Source organism: Homo sapiens, chromosome 10 (genome assembly GCF_000001405.40).
Source record: "Homo sapiens chromosome 10, GRCh38.p14 Primary Assembly".
Taxonomy (NCBI): domain Eukaryota; kingdom Metazoa; phylum Chordata; class Mammalia; order Primates; family Hominidae; genus Homo; species Homo sapiens.
The window spans coordinates 74,151,171-74,173,881 of record NC_000010.11 but is presented as its reverse complement, the minus strand read 5'-3'; the positions used below and the strand labels follow the sequence as shown (position 1 = coordinate 74,173,881).

The 22,711-nt window shown below is 41.5% G+C and overlaps 1 protein-coding gene across 6 annotated transcripts in view, besides 2 other annotated features; it reads right to left on the bottom strand.

Annotated features, from left to right (window-relative positions):
- The window catches only part of ADK (adenosine kinase), a 558,070-nt gene extending 535,409 nt beyond the window's left edge, over positions 1-22,661 (bottom strand). For all 6 annotated transcript variants that reach the window (NM_006721.4, NM_001369123.1, NM_001202450.2 and 3 more), the window contains exon 1: positions 22,539-22,661. In NM_006721.4, the coding sequence (NP_006712.2) occupies positions 22,539-22,603 (65 nt within the window). In that variant the 5' untranslated portion in view covers positions 22,604-22,661. The remainder of the gene's footprint in view (positions 1-22,538) is intronic.
- Positions 6,167-6,286: an enhancer, noted in NCBI's record as "active region_3591". NCBI's record gives its function as "activates an Ori minimal core promoter by ATAC-STARR-seq in GM12878 lymphoblastoid cells {active_cell/tissue: GM12878}" and the evidence as "EXISTENCE:reporter gene assay evidence [ECO:0000049][PMID:35858748]".
- Positions 22,311-22,490: an enhancer, noted in NCBI's record as "active region_3590". NCBI's record gives its function as "activates an Ori minimal core promoter by ATAC-STARR-seq in GM12878 lymphoblastoid cells {active_cell/tissue: GM12878}" and the evidence as "EXISTENCE:reporter gene assay evidence [ECO:0000049][PMID:35858748]".

Here is a 22,711-nt window from a genome sequence, read left to right as displayed (position 1 = left end):
ATTATCATAATAGTTAAACTTACATCTCTGGAGGCATGATCCCAAAGCTAACATGAACTTGGCCCTCTGAACAATCAAATGCACTTTTGCTCATGCTTAACATACTTTGGTAACACCTACCTTTGATTTGTAACATTAAAATTTTCAAATTAAAGCCAGGCACAGTGGCTCACGCCTGTAATCCCAGCACTTTGGGAGGCTGAGGCAGGAGGACCACAAGGTCAGGAGTTCGAGACCAGCCTGGCCAATATGGTGAAACCCCATCTTTACTAAAAATACAAGAATTAGTTGGGCGCGGTGGCACACACCTATAGTCCCAGCTACTTGGGAGGCTGAGGCAGGAGAATCACTTGAACCTGGGAGGCAGAGGTTGCAGTGAGCTGAGATTGCTCCACTGCACTCCAGCCTGGGCAACAAGAGCAAGACTCCATCTCAAAAGAAAAAAAAAAAGAAAGAAAAAGAAAAAAAATTTTCAATTTGAAAAAACCTAGCCGGGCGCAGTGGCTCACACCTGTAATCCCAGCACTTTGGGAGGCCAAGGCGGGTGGATCACGAGGTCAGGAGATCGAGACCATCCTGGCTAACACAGTGAAACCCCATCTCTACTAAAAATTAAAAAAAAAATTAGCCGGGCGTGGTGGCGGGTGCCTGTAGTCCCAGCCACTTGGGAGGCTGAGGCAGGAGAATGGTGTGAACCCAAGGTGGAGCTTGCAGTGAGCAGAGATCATGCCACTGCACTCCAGCCTAGGTGACAGAGCAAGACTCCATCTCAAAAAAAAAGAAAAAAAAAAAACTAATTTTGATACCAAAACAGGTAGTCTTAAAACTTTATTTTTTAACAAATATACTAAATTCAGTATAATTAAGGGAAGATATGGGTCTGCAATATTAAAATAGTTAATAAAATTGAAGCCACACCAAAGATATTTTTTAACTCATTTTTGATATTTGCATCTAACCGTTTTTTTTTTTTTTTTGACATGGAGTCCCACTCTGTCACCAAGCTGGAGGGCAGTGGTGCACTCTTGGCTCACTGCAACCTCTGCCTCCCGGGTTCAAGCAATCCCCTAGGCGTGCGCCACCAGGCCTGGCAAATTTTTTGTATTTTAGTAGAGATGGGGTTTCACCATGTTGGCCAGGATGGTCTTGATATCCTGACCTCGTGATCCGCTTTTTTTTTTTTTTTTTTTTTGAGATGGAGTTTCACTCTTGTTGCCCAGGCTGGGGTGCAATGGCGCGATCTCGGCTCACTGCAACCTCTGCCTCCCAGGTTCAAGTAATTCTCCTGCCTCAACCTCCCTAGCAGCTGGGATTATAGGCATGTGCCACCATACCCGGCTGATTTTGTATTTTTAATAAGAGATGGGGTTTCTCCATGTTGGTCAGGCTGGTCTCAAACTCCCAACCTCAGGTGATCCGCCCACCTCGGCCTCCCAAAATGCTGGGATTACAGGTGAGCCACCGCGCCCAGCCAATCAGCTGTCTAGCCAGGTGCAATGGCTCACACCTGTAATCCCAGCACTGAGGGAGACCAAGGCAGGAAGACCACTTGAGCCTAGGGGTTCAAAACCAGCTTGGGCAACATAGGGAGACCACACACCTGTAGTCCGAGCTACCTGGGAGGCTCAGATGGAAGGATGGCTTGAGCCCAAGAGTTCAAGGCTACAGCAAGCTGTGTTTGCGCCGCTGCAATCTAGCCTGAGAGATAGAACAAGACCCTGTCTTAAAAAAAAAAAAAAAAAAAGAAAATCCATGTACTGTAGGAAATGAAAAAAAAGTTTTTTATTAATGGTCAAAAAAATTTTCAAAAAGTTTATTCTCTCAAAATTTAAGTACCAGTCGTGTCAGCAGTTACAAACACAAAAATATTATTTCAAGAAAGAGGACTCATGTGATCTTTCAGAGTCAATAATGTAGCGACAAAAGTAAAGATATATTTTCCCAGGTAAAGGCAGAAGTTCTGTTATTCACAGCAACTTCCCTTCCCCAGCCTTTCATGCTCTATTTCTAATCTTTCCATTCTACTCTTTTTCTAAATACACACACACACACACACACACACACACACACAGAGAGACAGAGAGAGACAGAAAGAGAGTGAGCGCTGAGAGAGAGAGTACTGAGTAACTACTACTTTTGATCAATTTTCTAAACAATTTATTTCAACCCTATTTTTTTCCTAAAAGCCTAGCTTATCCTACTTTAGGAGAAAATAGTCAACTGAAATTTTTAACCTTCAGTAGTCTTTTTACAATTAGAATAGCTGAATCAAGATAAGTGGGTCTGAATAGTTTGCTCTTCGTAAGACTGATATGTAAATATTCCATATACTTTATCTAATCTTGTGGTCTGGCCCTATAAAAGCAATCAGATACATAACCCAAAATAGCTAAGTGCCTCCAAATAGCATACCAAAAATGTGGACCCATCCACTAATCTCTTCAACAAATGCTTCAAGCCCCAAAATAATAGCAAAGTTCTCTTCAAACACAACCAGTTTGTTAAGGGTGCGATAAAACAAGCACTCTCATATAAAATTAATGGGAGTATAAATTAGTACATTTCTACTATAAAGAATTTTGGCAATATGTGTCAGTAATTCCAACTTTTAGGCAACTATCATTAAAAGAGAGACAAATGTGTATAAAGATTTGTATACCCAGTTATTCATTTCAGCCTTATTAACAATAGCAAAAATTTATTATATCCCAAATAACCAGAAATAGGGTAATAGTTAAATAATTACAGAATGTTATGGAACTATTATAAAATGTTTCCACAGACTTTTTAGGGACATAAGAAAATGCTCATGATATAATGTTAAATGAAAAAAGCAAAACAAAAGGAAGTAGAGTATGAACTTGACTGTGTTTAAAAAAATACACACCATATATGCATAGAAAAAAATGATTGGAAAGAAATACACCTAAATGTTATTAGTTATCTCTGGAAAGTAGGATTATGCATAATTTTACTTTATTTACATTCATCCATCATTAATTTTCTAATACTGGTTTTATAGTTATAATTTTTATAATTATTATTAAATATCAACTATCTTTTTTCTTTTTTTTTTTTTTTTGAGATGGAGTCTTGCTCTGTCGCCCAGGCTGGAGTGCAGTGGCGCGATCTCGGCTCACTGCAGGCTCAGCCTCCCAGATTCACGCCATTCTCCTGCCTCAGCCTCCCGAGTAGCTGGGACTACAGGTGCCCGCCACCACGCCCGGCAAATTTTTTTTGTATTTTTAGTAGAGACAGGGTTTCACCGTGTTAGCCAGGATGGTCTCGATCTCCTGACCTCGTGATCCGCCTGCCTCGGCCTCCCAAAGTGCTAGGATTACAGGCGTGAGCCACCGTGCCCGGCCTTACTATCTTTTTTAAATGGCTTAAAAATACAAAACTTACTCCTGCCCTTTTTGAAAACTTGCATTTTTAAAATCATAACCTTGTTCCTGAGTTTTTTTAAAAAAAGAAATTCACAACCGTCAAAACTACCCTTATTTTTAGACAAATTGGGCTAATTTTATAAATGTTTCATTTTTTCATGTATAAAGATTCTTTAAGACAGGAATAACAAAAATAAGGTGTCCTCATGATTTTTTTGATTAATTTTAAATCACAACTTGACAAAAGTTAAAAGTGTGTATCCTACTTTTAGAGCTTTGCAAAGCCTTGACGAGCCCAGCTGTCATAACATGAATGTGGAATGTTTTCCCTGCATGTTACTTAAAAATACAAACCCTCATTTAATATGAATTCAAAAATCAGTAAAATAATATTATTTAAAGAATCTATATCATATCCAAAAAGAGAAACTTCTTAAAACTTGTCTCCCTAAAATAGTGTGCAGCCATGTAAAGGTCAGGGGCCTGGGAATGAGAAGGGATTCGAATCCTGGACTTACCAATAACTTTATTACTTTTGACAAATCATTACCTCTTTGACCATCAGTTTCCTTTTCTGAAACACAAAGGAGTTTGTTATAGGTGACATCTCAGGTTCCTTTAAGTTCTTATTAGACAATGAAAGAAAATACTTGTGCATACTTGTATCTCAAAACATATTGAATTTTTTTAAAGGAGTTGATAAATTTTAATGCAATTTTAGTTAGCTTTCATTATGGACAAGTTTATTCAAAGAAACACTGCTAAATCTATTAATTCTCTCCTGCAAAAGACATTGTAAGAATGCTATTATGTTGTTTGCTTTTAATAATCATCTTTAGATTCTTATATGTCACATTTCACTTTAACATCACATATTCAAACAAAATACAATCTTTAAATGGAAGCTGGCAATTTATTTCCCTGGAGAATTTGAAGAGTACAATAACATTTGACTGATTGAACTTTATTTAGTAAGAATTCTTAGCAAAACTCCCTCCCAGGCACACCCACACAGTACTTCTTTATTTTCTGTGAGCTACAAATCTTTGACTCTCAAAGGCAACTCCAATCTGAAAGTACAAGATAACACTGCTTATCAATTATTTATGCTGCACAGAACATATTTTTAAACTATAGAAGTGAATATCACTATCATTTCACAACAGAAAAGGGATTTTAATACAAAAATATAGAAAGTACATCACAGAAATAAAGAATAGCCCTTCTCAAAAGCTTGTTGCTAACCTTATGAAATATATTTTCTTTTTCCTTTTTTTTTAAGACAGGGTCCCACTGTCACGCAGGCTGAAGTGTACTGGCACAATCTTGGTTCACTGCAACTTCCGCCTCCCAGGCTCGAGCAATCCTCCCACCCCAGCTTCCTGAGCGGCTGGGACCACATATGCACGCCACCATGCCCAGCTAATTTTTTGGTAGAGATGTGGTCTCACGATGTTGCCCAGGCTGGTATCAAACTCCTGAGCTCAAGGGATCCACCTGCCTCAGCCTCCCAAAGTGCTGGGATTACAGGCATGAGCCACCACACCGGTCCTATATTTTCTATCTAAAAGATTTTCCTTATTTTGGCAAGGCACGGTGGCTCACGTCTGTAATCACAGCAGTTTGGAAGGACAAGGCGGGAGGATCACGAGGTCAGGAGTTTGAGACCAGCCTGACCAACGTGGAGAAACCCCATCACTACTAAAAATACACAAATTAGCCGGGTGTGGTGGCACATGCCTGTAATTCCAGCTATTCAGGAGGCTGAGGCAGGAGAATCGCTTGAACCCGGGAGGTGGAGGTTGCAGTGGGCCGAGGTCATGCCACTGCACTACAGCCTGGGCGACACAGAGAGACTCCGTCTAAAAAAAGATTTTCCTTATTTTTATCATTTCAACGTAGATCTGATCTATGATACTTCACAATCTTTTTTTTCTTTCTTTCTTTTTTTTTTTTTTTGAGACAGTCTCGCTCTGTCGCCCAGGCTGGAGTGCAGTGGCGCGATCTCGGCTCACTGCAAGCTCCGCCTCCCGGGTTCATGCCATTCTCCTGCCTCAGGCTCCCAAGTAGCTGGAACTACAGCGCATGCCACCATGCCCCGCTAATTTTTTAGTATTTTTAGTAGAGATGGGGTTTCACTGTGTTAGACAGGATGGTCTCGATCTCCTGACCTCATGATCTGCCCGCCTCGGCCTCCCAAAGTGCTGGGATTACAGGCGTAAGCCACCGCGCCCAGCTCACAATCTTTTAAATTGTTCATTCATTAACTCAACAAATATTTATCGAGCATCTGTTCTACTACAGGAGACACTACAGATTTGGCAAAGATCAAGAACATGTGCTGCCCTTTTAGAACTTACATTCTAAGGAGAGAAAGATGAATAATCAAGTAACAAAAAAGAACAGCATCAAATGATCATAAGTGCTATTCAAAGAATTAAAACCAGCAGATCAATGTAGAGAAAGAAATTTTAAACTTTAAATCATTTCTTCAAAAGCATAAAACCCTCAGTATTCCATGGAAAAATAATATACATACTCAAATTGAACTATGAAAATTTACCAAAAGCAGACAAATTTCCCAATGGAGGAAAAAACACTTTAAAAGTGATCATCCTTCAAAGGGCAATAACAGAATTAAAAGCTTGGATATATAATTCAGTCATGTTTTTCTAAATTATTTTACATAATTGTGGCAGACTTAAAATGGGAACAATATCTTAGAGACAAGAAGTCTATGTTCCCTTCTCTTAAATCTGGGCTAGCCTGGAACTCCTCTGACCAATAGTGTATAGTGAAGGTGATGCTATGCCAGATTCTAAGCTAGCCTTTGAGAGGGCTGCCAGCTCCTGCTTTGGTCTCTTGGAGCTGCCACGTGAGAAGTCCAACTACCCAGCTGAAGAAACCACAGAGAGGATCTCAAACTACACTAAGAGAAGCCCAGTTGAGCCAAGCCTCCAGTTACCCTAAGGCATAAGGTGAGTGAATAAAGATAAGATGGACCCTCCAGACCAGACCTGTTGTCAGCTAAACACCTCCAAGTGATCTTATTCACCATATAGAACAGAATCAACAGGCCAAGCTGTGTCTGAATTCCTAATCCAAAAATCATGACATCTAATAAAGTAGTTATTTTAAGCCACCAAATTTTGGAATAGAAAACCAAACTGTGTGAAAAATACATTTTTTGGCCAGACACAGTGGCTCACGCCTGTAATCCTAACATTTTGGGAGGCTGAGGCGGGAGGATCACTTGAGCTTAGGAGTTCAAGACCAGCCTGGGCAACATAGTGAGACCTCATCTCTATTATATTTTTCTACATTTATATTTTTTTAATTAAAAATACATTTTTTACATTGTAACCCAGTACCCTATACATATAACTGAAACAATGATTCACAGAGCAATACTTACCTCTTAGGTACTCAATGCACAATATTTTTTATTCTATTTCTCGTTTATAAAATACCACTTGTGCAATACTCAAAAAGGCTCATGTAGTCTGGAAAACATTTTAGTCTATACAACTCACTTAACAGGTGCATTCACAAATCCAGACAGAGACCTTAATAGGACTCAGGTGTCCTTATCCCTAATCCAAAGCTCTTTTCCTTGCACCATGCTAAAAGCCAATAGGTATTACAGTTTGTAACCAGAAGTTCCTCACAAGCTCATATAAACACCTCAGAACTGAGTGAAAGCTTAAAAAGCTTCATGGAAGTCATGTAGCAATCAGAAATAGCTAAGAGGAACTGAGACTTTTCCTATTTTAACCATTTCTTTTTTTTTTTTCTTTTTTTTTTTTTTTGAGACGGAGTCTCACTTTGTCACCCAGGCTGGAGTGCAGTGGCGCAATCTTGGCTTATTGCAACTTCCACCTTCCAAGTTCAAGCGATTCTCCTACCTCAGCCTCCTGAGTAGCCAACGTGGGCAGAACACTTGAGGCCAGGAGTTTCAGACCAGCCTGGGTGACATGGCAAAACCTCATCTCTACAAAAAATACCAAAATTAGTTGGGCGTGGTGGCACAAGCCTGTGGTCCCAGCTACTTGGGAGGCTGCGGTGGGAGGATGGCTTGAGCCCGGAGGTGAATGTTACAGTGAGCTAAGATTGTTCAACTGCACTACAGCCTCTGCAACCAAGTAAGACCCCATCTCAAAAAATAGTACTAATAAATTGTTCTTAACTAGAACATTTTAATTAAACACAAGCAAAATTGGTTTGTCTAAAGTTTTGATTAGAAAATACAATCTACTGGCCGGGCATGGTGGCTCACGCCTGTAATCCCAGCAATTTGGGAGGCCGAGGCGGGCAGATCACCTAAGGTTGGAACTTCAAGACCAGCCAGGCCAACACAGTGAAACCCCGTCTCTACTAAAAATACAAAAATTCACTGGGTGTGGTGGCGCATGCCCTTAATCCTAGCTACTTGGGAGGCTGAGTCAGGAGAATCACTTGAACCCAGGAAGTGGAAGTGTACCCAGGAGGCCACTGCACTCCAGCCTGGGCAACAGAGCAACTCTGTCTCAAAGAAACATGAGAAAAAAGAAAATATAATCTACTAAAAATTCCAGTTCAATGAGTTAATCCATTTGCAAACCATACCACTAAGTAGATCCCACAAGAGAATAATTATTTTGGGGGGGATAAAACTACATATGTGTGAATAAGAAAACTTGAGAGACACAAGTCTAGACAAGATTATAAAACACAATTGACAATTGCCACAGAATTTCTTTAAACAGGGTGCTTATCTAGCACATACAGAATTTACTGACAGCTTCTCAATTTCTATCTTCATACATAATATAAACAGCAAGACACATGAGTCAGAGGTCCTGAACGTGAGATGAATGTTTACTACTTAGGGACTCTTAACCTCTCGGGGGTCTGTTTCCTCAGCTAAAGACAGATTGCCTGGTTGTCTTCTTGTGGAGATCAATAAGAAAATGTAAGTGAAAGTACTTGACATTTTCTTCAAATATGTTATTCTTATCTTAAAAAAAATTAAATTTAATTAAAAAAAAAAGCTCCCCAGGAAATTGATGCTTCATTTCTTATTCCAGAGCCTAGAGCAACGGTAAGTTATAAGACTCAGGATCAAATCTCACCTTGGATACTTAGTAGCTGTAACTTACTGTGTTACCTTACTGATACCACCTAGCCTCTCTGGGCTTTAATACCCTCAACTGTACAACCCAAATATTAGACTCTGATTTTAAGTACCTCATCAAGCACTAATAATCTAAAAAGTCTAAAATATGTTCAGAGTTTTCAAAAATCACAAGAAACTGTGAACCACCATTTCAAAGCCACATCTGGCTGATACTGAAATCTGCTGCTTTCACACCCCAACTCGATGTCTTGCAGGAAATCTCAGCTCTAGGAGGGAACATTTCCAACTCTACCTGAGAACAGGCACTCTTAGGCATCTCCTCCCTCCGCTGCTCCTATCCCAACTCCCACCAGCATTCCCAAGCAGTCTTCGGAAATATGAAAGTAGTTTCTCAAAGAGAAAGGCTGAGAGAGCCTGCTTTAACCTGTTTTATGAGAGTAAAGAATCAACATCTTGGGAAACAAAGAAAACACTTAAAGATCTTTGAGTTTGACTTGATATCTACAAGAAACTAACACGTCTTCTCAGGAATCGAGTTTATTGAAACTTCACAGAGAACTGAGGTCAAAGGTCTCTGATGTGGTGTTTTTTTACATTTGAAAAATGTAGGAATGCTACACAAATATGGGGGAAATAGTGCTAAAGAAGAGATTCTTGTCCTCCAGAGGAAACTAGGCAAAGATAAGAATCTACGAGTATAAGTCTAGAAATGTATATATTTCTCTAAAGAACACCCTTAGGATATGCAAACACAGAGATGAATACCCCTAAGGAAGTCAATGTATTATGTAGAGAAGAACCTACACTCCCCTCCCAAAAAAAAAGGACAAATTTTTCCTTTTTTAAGATGGAGTCTCACTCTGTCGCCCAGGCTGTGGTGCAGTGGAGCAATCTGGGCTCACTGCAACCTCTGCCTCCCAGGTTCAAGCAATTATCCTGCCTCAGCCTCCCAAGTAGCTGGGATTACAGGCGCCCACCACCATGCCCAGCTAATTTTTGTATTTTTAGTAGAGACAGGGTTTCAACATGTTGGCCAGGCTGGTCTCGAACTCCTGACCTCAAGTGATCTGCCTGCCTCAGCCTCCCAAAGTGCTGGGATTACAGGCATGAGCCAACATACCCAGCCTAAAATACTATTTTTAATAAACATTTTATACTATGTACTGAATTTAATAATGTAACCAAGTTTTATTATAATATCTCAAACCTAAACAATCAAATTTAATACATTTGGATGAACAAGCAATAAGTAAAACAAGACAAAGTAGAATTTCATCACTATGTTTTATATGCATCAACATGCTATCCTATGATAAAATGTTTTATAATCAATTCATCCTGAGTAGGTGAGAACAGATATAGACAACAGCATAAATCTGCATCACTTCTACGGCTTAATGGCTTCAATCTTCAACAAAACTAAGAACTAAAAATGATAACTAAGGTCTCAGCTGGGCTGAGAAAAAACTATTTTAAAAAATTCTATTTTAGGAGAAGACTTCCTCAGTCAAGCCTATAAAACAACAAACTATTTAAATCTCTATGTGGTTAAGTTCAAAGACAAACAAGAGAACTGTTTATTTGTAAAGGAAATAATTTTCTTGTATTTCAATTTGTTTCCTCAAAAACTTAGATAATTTTTCAGACTGCCATTCTAGGGCTAAGAAGGAAACAGTTTCTTTTGCTATATCGAGATTAAAGGAATTTGAGAAAACCTAAGACATCTGAATTTGACTTTTTTGCCCTATTTTGTTTTTAAGTGACCCCTCCTAGATGAGTCAATAGAGACAAACTTCTTTAAAAACAAATTTTGTGGTACTATGGATTCATTTCACAGTATGTTATGTTACACAGTACATTATGAAATTCTGAACAGTATTACTGACCTTCCATGCTTGTGCAGTTCTAATTACACTGCAAACAGCCTTACTAATTAAAGGCTTGCTAACACAGAGAAAAGAGATTCATCATTCTAACAGGTCACTGGGATCTTCTTTGTACATTCACTCTTTCAGAAACTCTATTCCTCCCCCAAATACGCAATTCTACTATATTAAAAGAAGAAAGAATGAGTGAAGACATCAACCACGGGACCTTAAGAAAAGGTTACTGTTGGCCGGGCACAGTGGCTCGCGCCTGTAATCCCAACACTTTGGGAGGCCGAGGCGGATGGATCACAAGGTCAGGAGATCGAGAACATCCTGGCTAACATGGTGAAACCCCGTCTCTACTAAAAATACAAAAAATTAGCCAGGTGTGGTAGCGGGCACCTGTAGTCCCAGCTACTCAGAGGCTGAGGCAGGAGAATCGCTTGAACCCGGAAGGTGGAGGCTGCAGTGAGCCGAGATCATGCCACTGCACTCCAGCCTGGGTGACAGAGCAAGACTCATCTCAAAAAAAAAAGAAAGAAAATGTTACTGTTCACGTAGGAGAAGTGTATTTATTCTGAGGGAATTTTTCCCCATAGACAAATATAATAAATGGCTATTATAATCGAGCTCACTATGGTCACCAGAAAGAACAGAAACGCAAACTGGGGACAGGCGTGGTAGCTCACACCTGTAATCCCAGAACTTTGGGAGGCCAAGCCAGGCAGATCACTTGAGGTTAGGAGTTCAAGACCAGCCTGGCCAACATGGTGAAACCTAAAAACACAAAAATACAAAAATGAGCTGGGCACAGTGGTGCATGACTGTAATCCCAGCTACTCAGGAGGCTGAGGCAGGAGAATTGCTTGAACCTGGGAGGTGGAGGTTGCAGTGAGGTGAGATCATGCCACTGCACTCTAGCCTGGGCGACACAGTGAGACTCTGTCTCACACACACACACACACACACACACACACACACACACACACAAAAGAAATGCAATCGGGAGTACCTTTCTTATCCTTTAGTATCAGGTTGATTTTGCACACAAGCTCACTCCATTTAACAAAAAAATGAAAGGCCAAAGAATCGTGAAGTATTTTCAGGTAATAGTTCTCTCCATCAACTCCCATTATTGGTAAGAATTTATAGACAACACATGAATCCATTTTGCACCATTAAATGCTACAAGCAGCCGAGCCCAGTGGCTCACGCCTGTAATCCCAGCACTTTGGGAGGCCAAGGTGGGCGGATCACAAGGTCTGGAGTTCGAGACCAGCCTGGCCAACATGGTGAAACCCTGTCTCTACTAAAAATACAAAATTTAGCCAGGTGTGGTGGCGGGCACCTGTAACCCCAGGTACTTGGGAGGCTGAGGCAGGAGAATCGCTTGAAACCAGAAGGCGGGGGTTGCAGTGAGCCAAGATCGTGCCACTACACTCCAGCCTGGTCAACAAGAGTGAAACTCTGTCTAAAAAACAAACAAAAAAATCTTTAAAGGGTTAAGAGGCCAGGCATGCAGCTCAGGCTTGTAATCCTAGCACTTTAGGAGGCCGAGGCAGGAGGACTGCTTGAGTTCAAGACCAGCCTGGGCAATAGAGTGAGACCCTGTTTCTACAAAAGAAAATTTTTTCTTTAATTAGCTGGGCACAGTGGTGCATCCCTGTAGTTCCAGCTACTCTGGAGGCTGAGATAGGAGGATCGCTTGAGCCTGGGAGGTCAAAGCTGCAGTGAGCCATGATTGTACCACTGCACTCCAGCCTAGGCAACACAGCAAGACCCCCTCATCTCAAAAAAAACAAAAAAAAAAAGTGTTAAGAATTCCCTGATTCTGCCAGGAATGGTTGCTCACACCTGTAATCCCAGCACTTTGGGAGGCTGAGAGGGAAGATCACTTGAGGCCAGGAGTTCAAGACAGGCATAGGCAAGACCAGCATGGGCAACATAGTGAAACCCTGTCTCTAAAAACAAAAAAAAAATTAATTAAAATTTTAAAATAAATAGGCCAGGCGCGGTGACTCATGCCTGTAATCCCAGCACTTTGGGAGGTTGAGGCAGGTAGATCACGAGATCAGGAGATCGAGACCATACTGGCTAACACAGTGAAACCCCGTCTGTACTAAAAACACACACATACACAAATTTAGCCAGGTGTGGTGGTGTGCACTTGTAGTCCCAGCTACTCGGGAGGCTGAGGCAGGAGAATTGCTTGAACCTGAGAGGTGAATGTTGCAGTGAGCCGAGATCATGCCACTGAACTCCAGTCTGGGCAGCAGAGCGAGACTTCATCTCAAAAAAATAAATAGGAATTCCTTGATTCAACAGAAATTCAGAGCCTGTTATATTGCAATGAAGTGATCAGTTATGAGGCACTAAGAGTTATTCAACTAGTTTCCCAACTTCAAGTAGCAATAGGTGAGATAAAACATGCACATACTGTACATTGCAATAACGCAAAGTATAAAGTACAAACAGTCAAAGGAGAAACCATTTCTAGGTTTGGTGAGTAGAAAAGTTTTATAGAGAAGAGAGAATTTGGCTAGACCTTGAAGACTGAGGTTGTCGGGTTTTTTGGAAGGGGAGAAGAGGAAGGTTGTTTTAATAAATATTGTACATGCTAAAATGGATTTTTCTCTTGCTGAGGGAATGACACTACCTCCCTTACTCTACAAGGTCCTGTCGGAGTTGTTGATTACAGTGTACCCATCAACACCCATCCATTTCCCCCCATATACGAACAATGCCTACACTCACTGGCTCCCCATATACCTAGTACTACCTACACACACACATACACACACACACACACACACACACACACCCCTACCTGCATGCACGCACACACCCCTACCTGCATGCACGCACACAACAGACGGGCAGACAGTGAGAATGTATCCAAGGCCAGCCCAAATCTCCACCTCTGATACAGTGATTGTAATGCAGGGCAGGTAAGCCCCAGAACTGGGGCTTAGCCCAGGACGGTGCTTGGCTTCATCCAGGAAAAAATTCAAGGGTCAGCCAGTGGTGTGTCAGCAACTTTTATTGAAGCAGCAGTGTAAAGCATCGGCAGAGGTACTGCCCCTTGCAGAGCAGGGCTACCCCATAGGCAGTATGCCCAGAGTAGCAGCTCAGAAGCAGTTCTGTGGTCATATTTATACCCAATTTTAATTATATACAAATTAAGAGGCAGATTATGCAGAAATTTCTAGGAAAAGGGTGGTAACTTCCAGGACACTGTCATGAAAAGGGACGCTAACTTCTGGGTGTTGCCGTGGCAATGGGAAACTGACATGGCACATTAGTAGGTGTGACTTACGGAAAGCTGATTCCACTCTGTCCCTGTTTTAGCTAGTCCTCAATTTGGTCCAGTGTCTGAGCCCCACCTCCTACCTCAACTGGTTCAAGGTAGTGTGTAACACAGGCAGAACCAAATTTCTCTCAAAACTGATACAAGCATATAGAAAAACTCTCTTCCTTTGGACTCATGAGATTTTGGCTTGGAGTTGAGAACTGCCATCTTGTTACACTGAAATGGCCTACGTGAGAGATAAATTGAATCTAAAGGACAACAGAGACAAGCGGTGAACTCCTAGATTGAGTCATATTTAGATGGACTTTAGGCCAGGTGCTGTGGCTCACACCTGTAATCCCAGCACGTTGGGAGGCCAAGGCAGGTGGATCACCTGAGGTCAGGCATTTGAGACCAGCCTGGCCAACATTGTGAAACCCTGTCTCTACTAAAAATACAAAAAGTAGCTGGGCATGGTGGTGCATGCCTGTAATCCCAGCTGCTCGGGAGGCTGAGGCAGGAGAGTTGCTTGAACCCAGGAGGCGGAGGTTGCAGTGAGCTGAGATCGTGCCACCGCACTCCAGCCTGGGTGACAGATCAAGACTCCATCTCAAAAAAAAAAAAATTAGATGGACTTTCCAGTTAGGTTGAGTCAACTGAGTCTTTCAGAGATTTCAAAATGGTTCTAAGTATGAACCAAAGTCTAGCCTAAGCATGTAGAAGGCAAGTAGCCAAGTGACCACTTCAATATAATTTCTGATAATCCCTAATTCAGTGAGTGACCAATGATCACACAGGCTACCTTCACATCTGCAATCCTGTTTGCAGGTAACATAGTAAAATAGCAGGACTCACTACTAACCAAATGTGGCTTGCTGACAAAATGGTTAAGACCATGTTAATACAGTAACCAAACTGTTGTGCCTACAGAAGGCAAGAATTTCTTACATAATTGCTATACATATATATCTTCTAAATTGTAAAGAAAATACTAAAGTCAGCATGCATGCAATGAAAGTAAAAATGCAAATAGAAACTCAGATGTTCTTATATCAAAGGCTAATCACATTGCTTCTAGATCTGAAGTGTATGAACCAAATTTTTAAAGAAATGGTACGAAGCCAAAAGTACAAACAACATCAGAAATAATACACATAAATGAGAGCAAAAACTCTAAATCTGCTTTGATAAATCATCAGAATGTATCTTCTTCAAGCAGTATGTGAAACTTCAGTTTGGGAGACCATTTTGTAAAACAGCCTTCCAAATCTTCAAGTCCAAAAGTTGAAGAGAAGTCTGTCTTTTCAGTTACTACTGGAGAGGAAGAAAAGCCTAATAACTCAGTGACATCAACTGTACTGGTATTACAGTAGAGCTAGCCAAAAAGTATCTTTGAAATGAGCATCTACTTAGTATCATAGAAGTGCAGAACAGTGACTAGAGAAAAAAATCTAGGAACTAACTCTGATGAGAAATTATTGTTCCTGCACAGTAGCCAACTTTTAAAAGTAAACTATAAATAAGTAATAAAAGTCCACAAACCCTTTCTTAAATCCTTGGGGCAGGGTATGTTTTGGAATTCAGAATTTTATGGATTTTAGGAAGGTAACACTGCACTATATATTTTGTAGAACACCCAGGAGGAATTCATGTGGCATGTCATTAACAGCCTAATATTTCCATAGCAAAGCATATACATTTGTGTCAGACAAATAAATACTACTGACACCTTTACATCAGTTCAAATTTTGCTGCCAAATTAATTCATCTCAAACTTTTTAAAAAACTTCCAGCTTCCAGAGCTTTGGGATTTCAGAAATATAGCTTAAAAGATTATAGCCTACAATAAAGTCATAATAATTATGTTACCAAGTTTCAGAGGTATTTGGTATCCCAGAGGTCCATTCTGTAAAGATAATATTTAGCCACACAGCACTTGGCCACTTATATATTCAGTGTACTTCAAGTCTCTCCAACTTAAAAGCAAGATTCCTAATATGTTCAGTGTAGAAACATTGGAAAATACAAGTTTTTTTTTAAACCTCATAATTCTTCCACCTAAAGATGCCCACTATTAAATTTGGAGTGTCTAAATTTTCAGTCTTTCTATAATAGATACATTAATATAATTAGCAAGAAAATCTCTGAAGTTTTAGTTTATATTTTTGTTTCCATCTTACTAGATACATATAATGCCCTTTCAAGCTGAGAACTGGTCTTTCTTAAATTTTGGTAAATTCTCAGCCATCAGCTCTTCCAACCTGGCTTCTCCACCATTCACATTATTTCCTCTTTTTGGAACTCCCAGTTAGATGTAAGTTGGTGCCTCTCAATTTATGGAGTTGCGCTGTTGCCCAGGCTGGAGTGCAATGGCACGATCTCGGCTCACCCCAACCTCCACTTCCCGGGTTCAAGAGATTCTCCTGCCTCAGCCTCCTGAGTAGCTGGGATTATAGGCATGGACCACCACATCCAGCTAATTTTGTATTTTTTTTTTTTTTTTTTTAGTAAAGATGGAGTTTCTCCATGTTGGTCAGGCTGGTCTCAAATTCCCAACCTCAGGTGATCTGCCCGCCTTGGCCTCCCAAAGTACTGGAATTACCGGCATGAGCCATCACGCCCAGCTCATATTTGTTAATTCCTATTTATTTCTCTGTGATACATCTGGGTACTTTCTTCCAATTCATTAATTTTCCCTTCAAATTTGTCTGGTCTAGAGTTCAACTGACCTATTTTTTTTTTAATTTCAATAATTCCATTTTTTCTTTAATATAGCCATCTATTTCATATCTACCTATTTTTGATTCATGTTTTTTTATGACCATTATTTCTTTTATCTTTTTTAAGGATCTTTAAAATACTTACAATTGTTTTGAAATTACCCATATTTCCATCAGATTTTTTGTGAATTTATCTCTTGGTAACTGTGTTAATTTTCTAAGTAATGGTCTTCCTCGTGTGTTTATAGGCTCAGACATTCCCTCTTTTCCCAGGGGTTCTGTGATAGGCCACCCCTCTTCCAGAGTCCACGACCTCCAAGCTTGGTGCTCTTGTACTAGCTGATAGTGGGGAAACCACAGTTCCTGACTCTGAGCCATCTGGCAGCTCAGCCACTTCTGCATCTTCACTCCAGGTCCACAGCTTTTTAAAGCAACAGCCAAGAGCAGATGTTTTCAGCCCTCTTTCATCCAGTCTCAGCCCAGCTTCAGTTTCATACAGAGCATCTGACCCTAGGTCCCCTACATGTTATTTCTACTAGCTCCTGAACCCAGAGTCTAACTGCATGTTTCTTTTCTGTTCTTGGTCCCTGGAGATGTTTATCTTGTTCTTGAGTATATCTATATCTTTTCCTTTCCTTTTTAAATTTTTAATTGCTGCGTTTCCCTCTCAACATCCTTATGAGGTTCGTACTATTACTATACCCATTTTACAGGTGAGAAAAGAGGTATGGGGCAAGTAGCCAATCTTCCCGAGATCACTAGCTAATAAGGATCAAGGGTCAAACCAGATAGCTGATGCCAGAGACCATGCTCTTAACCACTGCTCTACTGGGATCCATTCTGACCAGAATGCTCTTTAAAATTTTGATACTTTTTTTCCCCCACCTAACTGTAAACACTTTGGACACAGGAAAGATATTTTGTTTTCTTTTTTTGAGACAGAGTCTTGCTGTTACCCAGGCTGGAATGTAGTAGTGCCAGTGCCTCAGCTTCCAGAGTGGTTGGGACAACAGGAACCTGCTGCCATGCCTGGCTAAGTTTATTTTTGTAGAGCTAGGGTCTCACTATGTTGCCCAGGCCAGTCTAGAACTCCTGGCCTCAAGCAATCCTCCCACCTTGGCCTCCCAAAGTGCTGGGATTACAGGCATGAGCCACACCATGTGGCCAGGATTTTAATTGATGGAAGTAAAGCAAAGACATATTCCAGGTAAAAAAAAGCAGCACATCAGCCTCATGTTTTATTTGAGGCTGAATATTCAGTCTAGGCCTGTACCCAAAATAAGAAACATAGTCTTCAATGCCCCTTGTTTTCCTAAGGCCCTTCCCACTTTCCCTGAGTTTCAAGCACTTCCATGCTTGTCCCTGGATACCCAGAACCATCCATGCAAGCTTTCCTCTGGCTCTCTCTACCACCCTCACGCTGCACTAGTATATATTGCCCAGGAAAGGATCTTATTAAGGCATTCATACTAAGTGCATTAGGGGACTTTTGTTTTCCATTCCTTCATAGCCCAAAGCCTTAATCTTAAAGGATTAAATTTGCGAATATAAGTAAAAGGCATGCAATATCATCCAAAAATAACCAAACTCTTTCAATAGTAGATTATCATGATGAAAAAAGAAAATAGTAGCAAAGCTCAATTTTAGGCTGCATTATTAAAAGTATAGGGTCGCCGGGCACGGTGGCTCACCCCTGTAATCCAGCACTTTGGGAGGCTGAGGCGGGTGGATCACGAGGTCAGGCGATCAAGACCATCCCGGCTAACACGTCTCTACTAAACCCCGTCTCTATTAAAAATACAAAAAATTGGCCGGGCGTGATGGCAGGCGCCTGTAGTCCCAGCTACTCAGAGGCTGAGGCAGGAGAATGGCATGAACCCGGGAAGCGGAGCTTGCAGTGAGCCGAGACTGTGCCACTGCACTCCAGCCTGGGCGACAGAGCGAGACTCTGTCTCAAAAACAAAAACAAACAAACAAAAAAATATATATATAGGGTCTAGAAAAATGAAAGTTATCAGTGCCACTCTATGCAACAAACATTAATTAAGGCCAGGCTTGGTGGCTCACACGTGTAATCCCAGCACTTTGGGAAGCCAAGGAATCCTCCTGCCTCAGCCTCCTGTGTAGCTGGGACCACAGGCTTATGCCACCATGTCCAGCTAGTTTTTGTTTCGTTTTTTTTAAAGATTCGAGGGTCTCATTTTGTTGCCCAGACTGGTCTCGAACTTCTGGGTTCAAGCAAACCTCCCACCTTGGCCTCCCAAAGTGCTGGAATGTAGGTGTGAGCCACCATGCCCAGCTCCTAGGTTTAATTTTAGAACACAGGGTCCATAGTGAGGTAGGAGATAGAGGAAAATAATAAAAGGGGTCCATGGAAGTGAAACAGTTAGGAAGCAATATTTGAGAAAAGCTCAGCATTTGCTGATTAGAGAACTGTAGTTTGTTTCCTTTTTAGTACTATTAAAAGTCATGATCCTTAATAATCCTTAATTGCTAATGTCAGATGGAGTAATGATATGGGCTTTCAGGATTCAACGTTTCCTAACATCAACTTCAGAGTTTACAAATATTTGCCGTGATGAATAAGTAGAGCTGTGCCTAAAGAAAAGTAGGCAGAACTTGAGGCTGAAGGTAAAGAGACTGCTTAGGAAGTCAAAACAAAATCTAAGCAAAAGATAAAGTCTAAACGTAAGGTGTGGCAGCAGGAATGGAAAAGGAAAGACATTATAATGTGGATGTAAAATGAATCAAATATCTAGGTCTCAAACTTTGGAGTAAAGGAGGTTACTGGTGCCATTAACAGATGCAGGAAATATGGAAAAATGCACAGATTCAGGATAACAGATAATTTAGTTTGGTATATATGACTTCGAAATGTCAGAAAGTCACTCAGAAGCACATACTCAGCAGACAGTAAAAATTAAGGTCTGGGAAGGCAGGGCACGGTGGCTCACACCTGTAATCCCAACACTTTGGGAGGCTGAGGCAGGTGGATCGCTTGAGGTCAGAAGTTCAAGACCAGCCTAGCCAACATGGCAAAATCCCGTCTCTACTAAAAATACAAAAATTAGCCAGGCATAGTGGTGTACGCCTGTAATCCCAGCTACTTGGGAGGCGGAGGCAGCAGAATTGCTTGAACCCAGGAGGCAGAGGTTGCAGTGAGCCGAGATGGTGCCACTGCACTCCAACCTGTGCGCCAGAGTGAGACTCCAACTCAAAAATATATACAAAATTAAATTAAATTAAGATCTGAGAACTGAGAGGCACAGAGATAGAAAGGACACATGTGAGAGTGTCTAATACAAAGCCTGGACCCCATACATCTCTGCTTCAGTCAGACTATCTGCACTTCCCCAAGAGGCAGCTCTCTCCCAGTTCTGCCACCAAACAAACTTTCCTATAAGGCAGATACCCTACTTCACAGATACCCTACAGTCACAGATGACTGGTTAACTCCTAGTCATCTTTAAGAATACTCAGGTGTCATTTTCCCAAACCCCACTTATTTCCCACCAAGAGGATGGTACCTGTGCCTTACCTCTTTCTCTCTCTATATATATCCAGTTTTTAACACCATGTCTAAAATAGCATGTACTTGAAAGACAAACTGAAGGAAAAGACTTGGCACGTGCTCAACAAGCCTTGGAAGGCACTGTAGCCTCTTAAGAGGCGATCGCTAAAGAAATGAACTTGGATGAGATTTCCAAAGGAGAGAAAAGAAAACTAAGTTGTCTTAAATATAAGTGATCATCATGGAACACCTTCATCTAGGGAGCAGTTCCCAAAAATGTTTCTCCACTTCTTTCATCACAAAATAGCTCGTCTGTAACACAGGAATCATTGCTCCTACCTCATAGGTCACTGGGAGGGTTAAAAGAGATAACATATATAGAGCACATAGTATAATGTCTAGCACTCAATTAACGTTCCCTTCTTTCCCCTAATCCCACGTGAAAACATGTCAGAGCCTGATTCTTTCTTTATAAGCAACTGTTATATGCTGAAAAGCAACCGAGCCTAGAAAAATAATAGATATTTGAGAAAGGCAGACTAGTCTTGTCAGATGCTCCCTCTAGAACAGATTTCTCAACCTCAACACCGTTGACGTATTTGGCCAGATAATTCTTTGTTGTGGGGGTTGTCCTATGTAGCATGTTTAGCAGCACCCCTGAATTCCATCCACTAGGTGCCAATAGCTCTCCCTACCAAAAATATCTTTCTAGACCACGCCAAATGTCCCCTGGAGGGCAAAATTTCCCCTGGTGGAGAATTATTATCCCAGAGCTGACCAAATTCTCACAAATCCCTAAATCTAAATATTTTTCCTGACATCTACAAATATATCTCATTATTTGTTCCCACTGATGCTGCACATTAAATTATGCAAAGTCTTTATAATCCATTCTCCTTAACCAAAACCAGTAGCAATCCCCTGTCAAGCAAGTCATCATAAATTCAGTGTAAATACTCAATGCATTATCACACTTTGAGTCTGAAAGCAAATTAATATAATAAAAGTAATAATAGCCGATCCTAAAATGTCTCCCCACAAAATTAGAGATTTGTCCCAGTACTCAAGTGTCTAATCTTTTAACTTCATGTCTACAGGTGGCACTAAATTCATATTGTATAAAGTGAATTTTAGTTGCCTAAGGAATGCTCTCACCACAGCCTCACAAAGCACCAGGACTGCAGGTATAAGAAAACATGCTCAGCTAGTTCCTATTTCTGTTCCTGTACTAATTGTTTTATTTGGGCTTCAATATCTTCAATTGTAAAATAGGCATAATTCTTGCCTTCCTTTGATCACAGAACTGTCCAACAAGATAATAAATAGGAAAACACAGTGAAAATGGATCAGCATTATATATAATAATTTTTATTAAGGAAAAATCTAAGGAAATCTAAGGGTTATATGTTCAGTAGGATGGTAGGGAAAAGTTGCATCTGTCTTCCAGTTTGGCGAAGGAGGTGCCTTATAAGGAAATACTCTAATAAAGGGCAGAGTAGGGAAAGCACATGCCTTGAACTCAGGTAGGTCTGATTCAAAAGCCGTTGCTTTTTATTCTGCATATAGTTGGAATATTTAAAATAAAAATAGAATATCCTGAGGGTTTTTATTTTAAAGTTTATGTTCTTGGTATAAGGTAGGCACACTAACCCTTTGAGGGTAGTAGGAATACATTAAAGGAACTGGCAAGGATTTGTTCACCCTCCATTCAAAGCAGCATGAACACACCACCAGGCCCCTAAGTGTCCTTTTCTTTTCAATTGTGAGTGATTCCTTCCTTTGGAGGTGAAGAAGAGTGATACTGGAAGAAATGGGATATGTCCTGTTTAATCAGGAGTGTCCTAATAGTTTTAAATCAGTTTGATATGTCTATTTTAAGATGGAAAAAAAAATCGCTGCCTTTCAGCGAACATTTCCAAATCATCAAAGACTGCCTGCTTCACTTTATACTTATTAGGAAGGGATATTTTAACAAATGACTCTTCATAAGTAAAAGTTGCAACATCAATCACATGTGAGGCAGGTGTTAGGGGCAGCACTGTCCCCGTTGCTGCCAAAAAGTGTAAATAAAAAAGAGAAATCAACCTTTCCTATCCATTCATCCAAATGCTGCCCCTGCAAAGCATCGGAGGGGTCTGGGTCCCTGGTAGAGGGTCCTCAAAGGTACGGGCTTTCAGAATGTGCACGAAAAGGAAGGTCAACGTGCCCTTCCGCAACACTCTGAAAAATCCCCAAGAATTCTGACTTTGCCCCAGTGTACAGCAGTTGCCGAGCCTCTTTCCCGCCATCCCCCGGGAAGAGAAGGCGGCCGCCTACAGACGCTGCTCCGGTCCGACCCTCCGGGGTCGCACCAGCCCAGCCTGGGCTTGCTCGCAGGTGGCGCGGTCAGCCAGCTCGGTCCCCCTGCGGGCCACGACTGGCGAAGGGCTGCTGGAGCCGGAGCTGCACCAGACAGGCGGGGACTCAGCCAAACGGAGAGAACGTCTGGCAAGGGGTCGCGGCCAAGCGGGCAGCTGGGGGAGGTCCTGCGTGTTGGCCCCAAGCTGGCAGTGAGAGACACCACCCAGCGTCGGGGCCGTGCAACCCCACGTGGGCCCTGGCTTGCTTGCAGCGCCGTCACCCTCCTCCCCAAGTCCGGCAGCGCTCACCTCAGCGCTTGCGGCGCCTCCACCTTCAGCTTTTTGGGCTTCGGCTCCTCCTCAGCAGCTGCCATCTTCGCGCTCCCACCCCACTTTGGCTCTACAGCCCACCTCTGCCATCCACTCTCTGGTCCCGCCCCCTCTTCGCATCACCGCTTTCTCTTCTCCAAATCCCGCCCCTC